A 12,658-nucleotide genomic window follows, 5' to 3' on the forward strand; every position below is an offset into this window, starting at 1 on the left:
ACTTTTTTTTGAGACGGAGTCTTGCTTTGTCGCCCAGGCTGGAGTGCAGTGGCGCGATCTCAGCTCGCTGCCAGCTCCGCCTCCTGGGTTCAGGCCATTCTCCTGCCTCAGCCTCCCGAGTAGCTGGGACTGCAGGCGCCCGCCACCACGCCTGGCTAATTTTTTGTATTTTTAGTAGAGACGGGGTTTCACTGTGTTAGCCAGGATGGTCTCGATCTCCTGACCTCGTGATCTGCCTGCCTCGGCCTCCCAAAGTGCTGGGATTACAGGCATGAGCCACCATGCCTGGCGGCTTTAAATAAACTTTTATCAGAACACAGCCACTCTGATTTACTGACAGAGCCGAGTAGTTGTGTCAGAGACTACATGGTCCACAAAACTTAAAATATTTACGTCAGGCCCTTTACAAAAAAGTTTGCTGACCCCTGCTTTAGAAAGTTAGCTTGCTCTATTGTTCAATAAACTGCAGTTTAGGAAATGTGACTTGTATCCATTGCAGTCTATGGCTACAAAACAATGAGTTCAAATACACTTTCTAAATATCCTTTGGGATTCCTTAAAAAATACCAACATGCAGAATATTAAAATATATTTAATGTAAAGGGAGATTAGTATAAAGTTTCAGGATAAGTTTCTTTAATGCTTCAGTATGGAGATAACATGAGTTTAGCATATGTTTAACTAAAAATGAAAACCATCAACAGCCTATTTCATTGAAAAGCGTTTTTCAAAATGCCCGTTGACAGAAATAACTTTGAAAAAAGGATTCCAGAGTGGTGATTTTTCTTGTTTTTGTAACTGAATACCTCTACAGAGAAAGTTCAGTATGCTTATTAAAATTTTAGAATTGAATATGATTTCTCTTTAACCATCGCAGGTGTATGCAGGGCCTCCTCCAAGTGGTGCCTACCTGGTTGCAGGGAACGCGCAGATGAGCCACCTCCAGAGCTACAGTCTTCCCCCGGAGCAGCTGTCTTCTCTCAGCCAGGCAGTGGTCCCACCATCCGCAAACCCAGCCCTTCCTAGTCAGCAGACTCAGGCCGCTTACCCAAAGTAATTTTACTGTTGATTCTTGTTTGGAGTTAGTGCTGTTACAGCTGTTTAAGTGCCCCCAGTTATCTATAACTATAAAATCTGGCTAATAAATATCTGTGGTCAGCGTCATGCGGCCGCCCCATTTGTGCTAATGAGTGGTGGAGCCTCTGTGGTATTCCAGTACCAGCCAGCAAGCTGGTCCTCTGCTCCCGACTCGCTCAACTCATGTAATCTGGTTTCAGCCTTATATTTTTAATACTACTCTAACCATAAGTTTTTATTGTTGTTTTTATTTGCATCTATGATATTTGATAATGTCTTTAATGAAATTTATGTTTAGTGACTATAATTTGTCATTTTTCCACACATTTTGTATAAAATCTAAATTCCGTTATTTTAAAATATATAGTTCTGAGCTGTCTCTTTAAGACAAATATTTTCTTATTTTTGCCCTGTTTTGGAATTTAGTTTATATTATATCAAGGTACCCCATTTGAAACAAGAAGATAATAAGAAGGTAAGCACCCTTGTTTCTCAGGAGGCAGATGGCTGAATATGTGATGACAGAGGCCCATTTACTTTGCCATTTACTTACAGTGCTGTCTGTCATGTAGTTAAATGATTATTGTGTGTTTTTTCTGCTTTAATGGGACTCTGAGCTGAAATCTTTTCCTTGAAGCAAATAAAGGATAGGCTTTTAAGAGTTTACCAACGTGTATTCTAGAAGTTACGACATTCTAGCTGGCAACAGAAGTTTCTAGGTAGCACAGGCACAACTTCTAGAAACCTTTCCAGCAGTGTTAGGATTGCCCAGGAATGCTCCTGCACTGCCCTCTCTTGCACTACTCATCCTCAAAGAGTTACGTGTTAGAGATGCTTGGGGATTTTCAAGCATTATTCGGTTGTCAGATCTAGTATCCCGAAGTGACCTTAAGGGGGATGATGGCAAGGCCCACATGTCAGAAAACAGGGCATTCCCTAGTGGGTTCTGTATCTTAGAAAAAAGTGTTAAGTGTAGCTTGCACTCTTGCAGGATTTTTTTTTAAGTTGAAATCTGGTGGAAATGAATACCCTTCTGGAAAATAAACAGCTGTTCTTAGAGTAGCATGTTGCTTTACAACTAGATACAAAGGGGCTAGAAGGTAGGAATTGTTGAGAAGACACTAGGGTTCCTGACTTAATAGGACCCTGCAGCTATTTTAGTATTAGCCGGAACTGCCACTTTTCCCCTGCTAGTCCTCTGTTTGACTATGTCACATGCTGCTCTACCTTCCTTGTTACTAGAGATTACTTGAGACTCATTCTTCAAGGTCGGGGCCTTGGGAAATTATCCTTGTGAATGAGATAACCTGTTGGTAGGTGCTTTAACAGTGAAGTTCTGTAGCGCTGTGGTACCCTGCTGCTGTTCTCTGTGTGTGACTCTGCTTCTGCATTCGGGATGTGAAATCCCTGGCATAGGCCCAACCCTACCCATAGAGTGTAGCTATTAATGTCACCTCTCAAGGAACACATGTTTATTTCAACAGGTGTCTTTTGAAGAACATTTTCTTGAAATATTTAGCCCTCTCGTCCTGGCTCATTCCTGCATATTCTTTAGTTGTTAGCTTAGCTGCATTTTTACTGGGACATCTTCCTTGCTTTTCCACCTCTCAGCACTGTTCCTCCTGTGTGCTGTCAGAGGACTGTGTGTGTACTTCCGTTTCCTGGCTGGTAGTTGCCTTTTTACTTGTTTGTATCCCCACTGAAGACAGTATCTTGAGAGCTGGCACTGTCTTTCACCTCTATAGCCATCCTATGTAGCACACAGTTTTACACTGGCTAGGAACTCAGTAAATATTTTATGAATACATGTTTTAGTGTTAATGACAATTTCAAGTGCTATATTAGACCAGTTAGGTGTATTTTTTAAAAATTCCTTGCAAAGGCTTCACAAAGGCTTAGAGGCCATTTAAATATCTATATATAAAGGTACAATATGTAATATCTGTTTATCAATATATAAAAACAGATGTGTGTTTGTGTGTTTCAACGGGGAAATGAGGAATTGCTGGTAGAGCAAATGTAGGATGAGGAAATTGGAAGGAGCGAGGGCCAGGGTTAGAAATTTCCTTACTAGAGGTGTCCTGCGTATTTGACTCGAGCTTTCTAGCGGCAAATCAAGGTCAGTGAGGATTGTTGTTGTTTTTGGTAGGCAGGTTTTTTAGCACTCCTCAGTTTATATATATCTGAGAGGCTATCTCTTGTTACATAAAATTTTGGTGTTAAAGCTCACTGTTTTTCAGACTTCTGTCATCCTAGGACAGTCTTATTGTTAGTTGGGGAAGGTGTCACTGATGACGGTTTTCTAAAGCTACCTGTAGCGATGGTAGTATTATAAGGTGATAATAAGTGACAATTACTGTTAGTATTTTGAGACCACTGAAGCTTATGTATTTATTTGTCTCTGATTTTAGTTTACTACAGTCAGCATGTGCCAGGCACTGTGTTAGACACCTGAGAGTCTTCTTTAGCTTCAAGGTGCTTACTGAGTAGTAGGGGCAAACACATAAAAAAATATAATTTTATACAACATGATTTATAAATAAAGAAGATATATGCCTTGTACCTTAGGAGCCTCAGGGTTTGAGGAAGTTTTCCAAGAGGGTTATTCTTAGCCAGTAGAAAAAAAGTGAGGAAGATGTTCTGTCACGTCAGAGATGTGGTAGCCTGGAATGGCATGGTACCCATGGAGTGAGCAAAGATGGGAGGTGTGAAAGGCGTGGTATGTATCGGCATTCCAGCAGCACACTTACCAAGGGTTGAAAGCGTGTAGGGGAGCAGCGAGAGACATACTTGAAGACACTGCCAAGGTCGAAGAATGCTTGTTCTAGATACCATCTTAGGGATAATGAAAAAGTTCAGAAAGGGCTTTAAATGGCAGTAGCGTAGATGGATTCATAGGGGCAAGATTAGAAGCTGGGAGACCATGGATATTAGGCAAGAAATTATGAGTATTTGTTGGCAAGATACAGTGCTATTAATTGGAAAGAGTTATTTAGGAGATTAGCAAATAATTACACATTGGGTGACATGGTTGGGAGACAGCTCAGTGCAGAGATAAGAGAAAGAAGTATTGGTGAATTGCATGGTTTTGCCCCAGGCAACTGGGTGGACGGTGGAACTGTAAATTGAGAATGATTACAATAATGCTAACATTTAAGGGGTATTTAGTATGTTCCAAGCACTGTGCTGTATGCTTTACACAAAGTAACTTATTCCTCATAATAACCTGTGAAGTCGGTAAACTATTACCCCCATTTTATAGATGGGGAAGCTGAGACCTGGAGACAAAACGGAAGTCCCACTTAGCTAAGATTCTAAACCAGACATTCTGACTCCAGAACCCAGCGCATAGACTCTATATTACGGCAATATTATAGCCCATACCATTGTCAATAATAGTATGAAATTTGACATCTCCTAATCAACTTTATATCTCACACATATGGAGTGATGACAAATAATGCCTTAGGTCACCACATTAGTTGGAGAAATGTAGCATTAAATTACCGTCTCTTATAATAAATTACCATCAAATAATGAATTTGTGCCAAGTACAAGAGCACTGAATTTCCCAACAATAGATTTATAAATAACAATTGGAGGAAAGTTTAGAAGTAGGCAGTATTTTGAAAATTTGGCAGTTGCTTTTTATATTGCTTGTTTTACATTTTTAATACAAATGTAGGGGGAATTCTCAGCATCTTAGTACTTCTCTTCACATAGCTAACCTAGTGTCTTACAGTGGAAACGCATGTATTCCGTTGGAAACAGGAAGACAGGAAGTAGAGGCAGTGGATAAAGACAACCCTTTGAAGAATTTTTTTCTTTCTTTTTTTAATGGGAGCAGTGCACAAGTGCAGGGACTTGAGATGGGAGTACTGGCAGCGGAGCGGTGGGAGCGGTAGGGAAGCTCAGTACGTGAGGGGTGCAGCTGCAGAGAGTTGATCAGTGTGGTGTTGGAGCGTGTGCTTCCGTATTTTCAAGGAAATAAAAGAAATGAGGTTATGAGGCCTTCCCTTCCACTAGTCCTTTGGGACCGTTCTTGTCAAGAACCCTGGTGATGCCCATACTGCTAGACTCCCGGTCAGTTCACCATTCTCCTCCTCCTCCATTTGACAGTTCGTGATTCCCTCCTCTTTTCTGAAATGCTTTCTTCACTTGCTGGTGACCATTCTCTTTTCCCTTCTGCCTCACCGCCACTTCTTCTCAGCCTCATTTGCCTCTTGCCTCTTTATCTTCTGGACTTCAAGGTCCAGTGCACAGTAGATGGACTGCCTTTTTCTCTGTTTGCAGCCGCTCCCCAGGGGACCTCATGAAGCCCGGTGATTCTGAATGCCGTGGATCTGCCGAGGATTCCCAGATGCGTATTTCTCCTCCGTACTTCCCCACAGGACAGCAGGCTTGAATAGCTGATTGCCTATGCAGGACAACAGGCTTGAATAGCTGACTGCCTATGCATTCTCTTTGCTTGCCAGTTTTTTGGACATCAAACTTGACAGATCCAAGATTATTACTTTGATCTTCCCCACACCCCTCCCACCCCCGAGTCTACTATGGTCCCATCATAGTATTCTGAAAATCAGTGAATGGCCACTCTACCAGTTATTTCTACCAGTTTTTAGGTTCTAAACCTCAGGCATTCTGGACTCTTCTGTTCATTATCATATTTTGAAGGCATTATCTTCAAAATCTATCTAGACTCTGACCCTTTCTCCCATCTCCACCATTACTGCCGTGGCTCTTCTGCTGGTCGGCTCTCTCCTGGTGGATCGTAATAACCTGCAGTCAGCTATCCTGGTCCAGAGGGAGCCCGTTAAACCCTGTGGAATCTTATCACGCTTCTGCTCAGAACGAGCCAGTGTCTTTCTGTCTCACTCAGAGTGTAAGCTACAGTCCTTATTGTGGCCATCAGGTGCTGTGTGTTCTCCAGCCCCCTCCCCACCACCGCAGTCCTGCCGGTGATCTTAGCTGCTCTCCCCTCGGCACCCCCTGCGGCCCCCTCTGCCGCAGCACTCGTGGCCTGCTGTTCCTTGAACATGCTTGGTGTTTTCTCTCCTCAAAGGCTTCTTTCTGTTTACCTGAAATGTACTTTCCTAGGGAATCTATCTGGCTCACTCGCTTACTTTTTCCACATCTTTGCTTAAGTATTGCCTTATTGGAGAGGCACCCTACCATAAACTAGAATCCCTTGCCCCAGCTGCTCTTTGTCCTCCGTATTGGGCTTTGTTTTTGTTCTTACCAGTTAGAACCACTTGACACACGATACATGTGTTTGTTACCCTTTTCTACCACTAGAACAGACGCTCCATGGTGGTATAGACTTATTTCCGCAAACCACCCCCCCCAACTTTTTTTACACAATGGTTAAATAACACACATATTTTTAATGCAATGCCTGATATCACAAAGCCTAAAATAACAATGTTTGGCACATTATAGCTGTTTAGTAAAAGGTTATTAAATGAATTGACTATATGAATGAATGCTTAGTAAATAGCTTTTCCATTTATCTGTAGTTGCTCTATAAATCAGTATTGATGTAATTGAGTGTTTTTCTTCCTCCACAGTACAATGGTCAGTTCCGTTCAAGGAAACACATATCCCAGCCAGGCGCCAGTATATAGTCCTCCTCCTGCCGCTACTGCTGCTGCTGCAACTGCCGATGTCACTCTGTACCAGAATGCAGGACCTAATATGCCCCAGGTGCCAAACTATAACTTAACATCATCAACTCTGCCTCAGCCCGGAGGCAGCCAACAGCCACCTCAGCCACAGCAACCATATTCTCAGAAGGCTCTGCTATAGGACCCGGTGTTCCTCTTGGTGGCAGATACCTGCTAAATGCCACTGACAATGTTATGAGATTCATTACTATCTTAAGATGTGTTTATCCTCAGCTTATAGGAATCTCTCCAGGTCAACAGGTTCAAATATTCAAGAAGGTAGAACTCTCCTCAATTTACACTGACTTTTTAGAGGTTCTTCCCCCCCCGCCCCTGCAGAGGAATGAAACTACTTACAACATTTAATTCCTTTCATAATATGAAAGAATTGATACAAGGCTATTTGTCTCGTAAACCTGGTCTGCAGAAAGTCAAACTTACAAAAACTGTTGTGACAAATGTTATGTACATATATTGATATGTAACTGCATTAGTGGCCATTTTGAATCACAGTGGTGATCGTGTGAATATATTTAACACTGTGTTAAATTAATTTACGTTGCTATTTTATTTTAATCATAAACAACTACCATGTTTCTTAATGTTTTGTGTAAATTTAAGGTAATTATACTATCCTTTTAAACTTCAAGAAAACAAAGTTGTTAGCGTATTTACATGAAGGCGCATTATGTTGTCGTGTGTTTCAGTTTCACATTAAACTGAACCTTTTACTAATTGTGAGCTAAAGAGATATATATATATATGTGTGTGTATATATATATATCTACATGTCTTTCTGTAGCCTCTGCATACTACTGGCTGTCATCACACCAGCGTACAGTAGCTAAATTTTTGGTGCAATTATAGCAAATGATAATGTTCCCTTTTGAACTTTTACATTTTGGCATGACATTTCAGAGTATTGTGGGACCATGAGACAAAATTAAGTACGATCACATTCTTTATTTCTCATTTTAAAGAAATGATGTTGGTTTACCTTTTCCTAGTTGAAGATAGTAATTAGGTTTCTAAGCTGTATACTGTGTTTATTGGTGGCAGTGACACCAAAGATAGAGGCAATGGATAGAAATTTTTAAACTGGAAAGAAAACCTGAATTACACTACATTTTCGAAGTCTCTTGTAATTATTTGGGATATCAACAAAATTTGATTCGTCTGTCTAATCCCTTGCTAGTATTTTAAATATGTCTTTAACACATTGTATCCTTTAATTCTTCATTAAAATGGAAATAAGTAGATGTTTCAAAGTAATCTACATTCCTGGCTTTGCTTAACGTTTATATAGGTATTGTTTTCTTTCACACTGGATTTTTGGGTTGCTCTTTCTGGCCTTTTAAAATTCTAATGGAATTATTTTGGCTTCTTACTTGGGAATATTTTCAAATGAATGCTTTTCTTTTAATTCATGCGAAAAATGTTTTCCACTGACATTGTAATCTTAAATATTTACGATTTCCCTGGTTGGGCTATACTATTATTTTAGCACTATTTAAACAACGGAAAAGTTGAGTCGAACATCATATTTAATGAATTGATGTAACAGGTTTCATACTATAAATGAAAATTTCATTTTTATTTTCTAAGACTGTTGTAATCAGGTAGCTTGTTTATTTTCTTTTTGAGAGAAGATTAAATCTTTAGCCAGTAATCTTAAGGGTGACTAATTTCACAGACTCAGATTTAAAGCACCGTAGTTTTAAATCTGAGCCTGTGAAATTAGTCACCTGTAAGATTACTTAAGGGTAACTTAAGTGTTTCGCTCAAGTGTTGTGTTCTGATTTCCTGTGTTTAAAATATGTTGCCCTGCCCTGAAGTCAAATTTCACATTTTAAATACTATAAGTTAGTTTTTGATAAATATCTGTCGGATTATAATCTTTTCCACTCCAATTTGAGTATTATGGTTTAACTGATATACTTTTCTGCAATTTTTCTTTGTCTTTTGATAAATTCCTGTTTACCAATGTTAAATGTATCATTTTCCCATTTTAATTTTGATATCTTTCATGCTGAAAATCAATGACATAGTCTCTACTATGATTTTTGCCCTATAAAAGTCAAGTAACAGTGAATAGAAAAAACTACCCTTATTACAACCCATATACATTTTTCTTTACCTTTTACATTACTAGCCTTATAAAGGTTTAAATGATGAGTACTTTAAAACTGTTACTGTGTTAGTTTATGCCTTCCCATTATTAAAAATGAAAATACCAGGGGGAAAAAATCCAATGAAAGTGAAGCACTGGCTTGTCTTTCAAATGACAAGACGAGGGTAGAAATAGGAGGGGGCCAGTTAGGATCATGAATGACTTTAAGTTCTGAAACCTGCAGGTCTTGCACTTTCAAGAAATCTTTCATTAATAGCTGTCCTTATTTTGAAGGAATAGAATAATTTATAAAATGAACTAGCTGTAACATAGGCTGGACGCAGTGGGTCACACCTGTAATCCCAGCACTTTGGGAGGCCGTGGCGGGCGGATCATTTGAGGTCAGGAGTTCGAGACCAGTCTGACCAACATGGTGAAACCCCGTCTTTACAAAACTACAAAAATTAGCTGGGCGTGGTGGCAGGCACCTGGTAATCCCAGCTACTCAGGAGGCTGAGGCGAGAGAATTGCTTGAACCTGGGAGACGGAGGTTGCAGTGAGACGAGATCACGCCACTGCATTCCAGCCTGGGAGACAGAGTGAGAAATAAATAACTGTAATGTAAACTGCTGTGAAGCAAATTCTATTTCTCTTTTTTTAAAAAATAAAATTTGAGATTGGTTTTCCGTAAAATAGTGACACGTAAATGGAAAAAATCTAATCCAGTTACGAACTAGCATATATAGCCAACAGGCCCATGGCCTGTGATGTTATACCAGTGCCCTGAACCTGTAAGAGGATTTCTAATGCATACCTAATGTGACTTTACAGCCTCTTCTAACTCCGTCTTTCTCCTTCACTGTTACCTATCTTCCCTATGCAGCGAGGGAACTTTTTATGTGCCTAAGATTCCTTTTTTCATGTACTTCTGGTGCTTTGTTTCTATACCTCATAGTTTTTGTATTTAAAATGCTTAATAGACCAGTGTCTTTTTTCTCTGATACATACAGCTTTCCTATGCGATATGTATAATTCAGTTTGAAGACATGTTTTTTCCGAAGCTTCAAGTTGATGTGAGACAAATTAGCACCCTACACGATAAACTATGCAACTATAAAAATTATGGAAATTGCCCATGCCTGTGTCCTGAATGGTAATGCCTAGGTTTTCTTCTAAGGTTCTTATGGTTTTAGGTCTAACGTTTAAGTCTTTAATCCATCTTGAATTAATTTTTGTATAAGGTATAAGGAAGGGATCCAGTTTCAGCTTTCTACATATGGCTAGCCAGTTTTCCCGGCACCATTTATTAAATAGGGAATCCTTTCCCCATTGCTTGTTTTTCTCAGGTTTGTCAAAGATCAGATAGTTGTAGATATGCGACATTATTTCTGGGGGCTCTGTTCTGTTCCATTGATCTGTATCTCTGTTTTGGTACCAGTACCATGCTGCTTTGGTTACTGTAGCCTTGTAGTATAGTTTGAAGTCAGGTAGCGTGATGCCTCCAGCTTTGTTCTTTTGGCTTAGTATTGACTTGGCGATGCGGGCTCTTTTTTGGTTCCATATAAACTTTAAAGTAGTTTTTTCCAATTCTGTGAAGAAAGTCATTGGTAGCTTGATGGGGATGGCATTGAATCTATAAATTACCTTGGGCAGTATGGCCATTTTCACGATATTGATTCTTCCTACCCATGAGCTTGGAATGTTCTTCCATTTCTTTGTATCCTCTTTTATTTCCTTGAGCAGTGGTTTGTAGTTCTCCTTGAAGAGGTCCTTCACATCCCTTGTAAGTTGGATTCCTAGGTATTTTATTCTCTTTGAAGCAATTGTGAATGGGAGTTCACTCATGATTTGGCTCTCCGTTTGTCTGTTATTGGTGTATAAGAATGCTTGTAATTTTTGTACACTGATTTTGTATCCTGAGACTTTGCTGAAGTTGCTTATCAGCTTAAGGAGATTTTGGGCTGAGACAATGGGGTTTTCTAGATATACAATCATGCCATCTGCAAACAGGGACAATTTGACTTCTTCTTTTCCTAATTGAATACCCTTTATTTCCTTCTCCTGCCTAATTGCTCTGGCCAGAACTTCCAACACTATGTTGAATAGGAGTGATGAGAGAGGGCATCCCTGTCTTGTGCCTGTTTTCAAAGGGAATGCTTCCAGTTTTTGCCCATTCAGTATGATATTAGCTGTGGGTTTGTCATAGATAGCTCTTATTATTTTGAGATACTTCCCATCGATACCTAATTTATTGAGAGTTTTTAGCATGAAGGGTTGTTGAATTTTGTCAAAGGCCTTTTCTGCATCTATTGAGATAATCATGTGGTTTTTGTCTTTGGTTCTGTTTATATGCTGGATTACATTTATTGATTTGCATATATTGAACCAGCCTTGCATCCCAGGGATGAAGCCCACTTGATCATGGTGGATAAGCTTTTTGATGTGCTGCCGGATTCGGTTTGCCAGTATTTTATTGAGGATTTTTGCATTAATGTTCATCAAGGATATTGGTCTAAAATTCTCTTTTTTTGGTTGTGTCTCTGCCAGTCTTTGGTATCAGGATGATGCTGGCCTCATAAAATGAGTTAGGGAGGATTTCCTCTTTTTCTATTGATTGGAGTAGTTTCAGAAGGAATGGTACCAGTTTCTCCTTGTACCTCGGGTAGAATTCGGCTGTGAATCCATCTGGTCCTGGACTCTTTTTGGTTGGTAAGCTATTGATTATTGCCAGAATTTCAGAGCCTGTTACTGGTTTATTCAGAGATTCAACTTCTTCCTGGTTTAGTCTTGGGAGGGTGTATGTGTTGAGGAATTTATCCATTTCTTCTAGATTTTCTAGTTTATTTGCGTAGAGGTGTTTGTAGTATTCTCTGATGGTAGTTTGTATTTCTGTGGGATTGGTGGTGATATCCCCTTTATCATTTTTTATTGCATCTATTTGATTCTTCTCTCTTTCCTTCTTTATTAGTCTTGCTAGTGGTCTATCAATTTGGTTGATCCATTCAAAAAACCAGCTCCTAGATTCATTAATTTTTTGAAGGGTTTTTTGTGTCTCTATTTCCTTGAGTTCTCCTCTGATTTTAGTTATTTCTTGCCTTCTGCTAGCTTTTGAATGTGTTTGCTCTTGCTTTTCTAGTTCTTTTAATTGTGATGTTAGGGTGTCAATTTTGGATCTTTCCTGCTTTCTCTTGTGGGCTTTTAGTGCTATCAATTTCCCTCTACACACTGGTTTGAATGTGTCCCAGAGATTCTGGTACGTTGTGTCTTTGTTCTCGTTGGTTCCAAAGAACATCTTTATTTCTGCCTTCATTTCGTTATGTACCCAGTAGTCATTCAGGAGCAGGTTGTTCAGTTTCTATGTAGTTGAGCGGTTTTGAGTGAGTTTCTTAATCCTGAGTTCTAGTTTGATTGCACCGTGGTCTGAGAGACAGTTTGTTATAATTTCTGTTCTTTTACATTTGGCGAGGAGAGCTTTACTTCCAAGTATGTGGTCAATTTTGGAATAGGTTTGGTGTGGTGCTGAAAAAAATGTATATTCTGTTGATTTGGGGTGGAGGGTTCTGTAGATGTCTATTAGGTCCGCTTGGTGCAGAGCTGAGTTCAATTCCTGGTTATCCTTGTTAACTTTCTGTCTCGTTGATCTGTCTAATGTTGACAGTGGGGTGTTAAAGTCTCCCATTATTAATGTGTGGGAGTCTAAGTCTCTTTGTAGGTCACTCAGGACTTGCTTTATGAATCTGGGTGCTCCTGTATTGGGTGCATATATATTTAGGATAGTTAGCTCTTCTTGTTGAATTGATCCCTTTAC

General features: G+C 39.6%; 1 protein-coding gene across 10 annotated transcripts in view; it reads left to right on the plus strand.

The window, feature by feature from the left end:
* STAM (signal transducing adaptor molecule) overlaps positions 1 to 8,926 on the plus strand; it is a 72,674-nt gene extending 63,748 nt beyond the window's left edge. For 9 of the 10 annotated variants that reach the window (NM_001324284.2, NM_001324285.2, NM_001324288.2 and 6 more), the window contains 2 exons: positions 878 to 1,053; positions 6,645 to 8,926. In NM_001324284.2, coding sequence (NP_001311213.1) covers positions 878 to 1,053; positions 6,645 to 6,882 — 414 coding nt within the window. In that variant the 3' untranslated portion in view covers positions 6,883 to 8,926. Of the gene's footprint in view, positions 1 to 877; positions 1,054 to 5,370 lie in introns of all 10 variants that reach the window. The other variant, XM_011519695.4, reaches the window with a different exon arrangement.
* Positions 8,927 to 12,658: the final 3,732 nt, after the last annotated feature.

The sequence above is a fragment of the Homo sapiens genome, chromosome 10 (assembly GCF_000001405.40).
Source record: "Homo sapiens chromosome 10, GRCh38.p14 Primary Assembly".
Classification (NCBI taxonomy): Eukaryota; Metazoa; Chordata; class Mammalia; order Primates; family Hominidae; genus Homo; species Homo sapiens.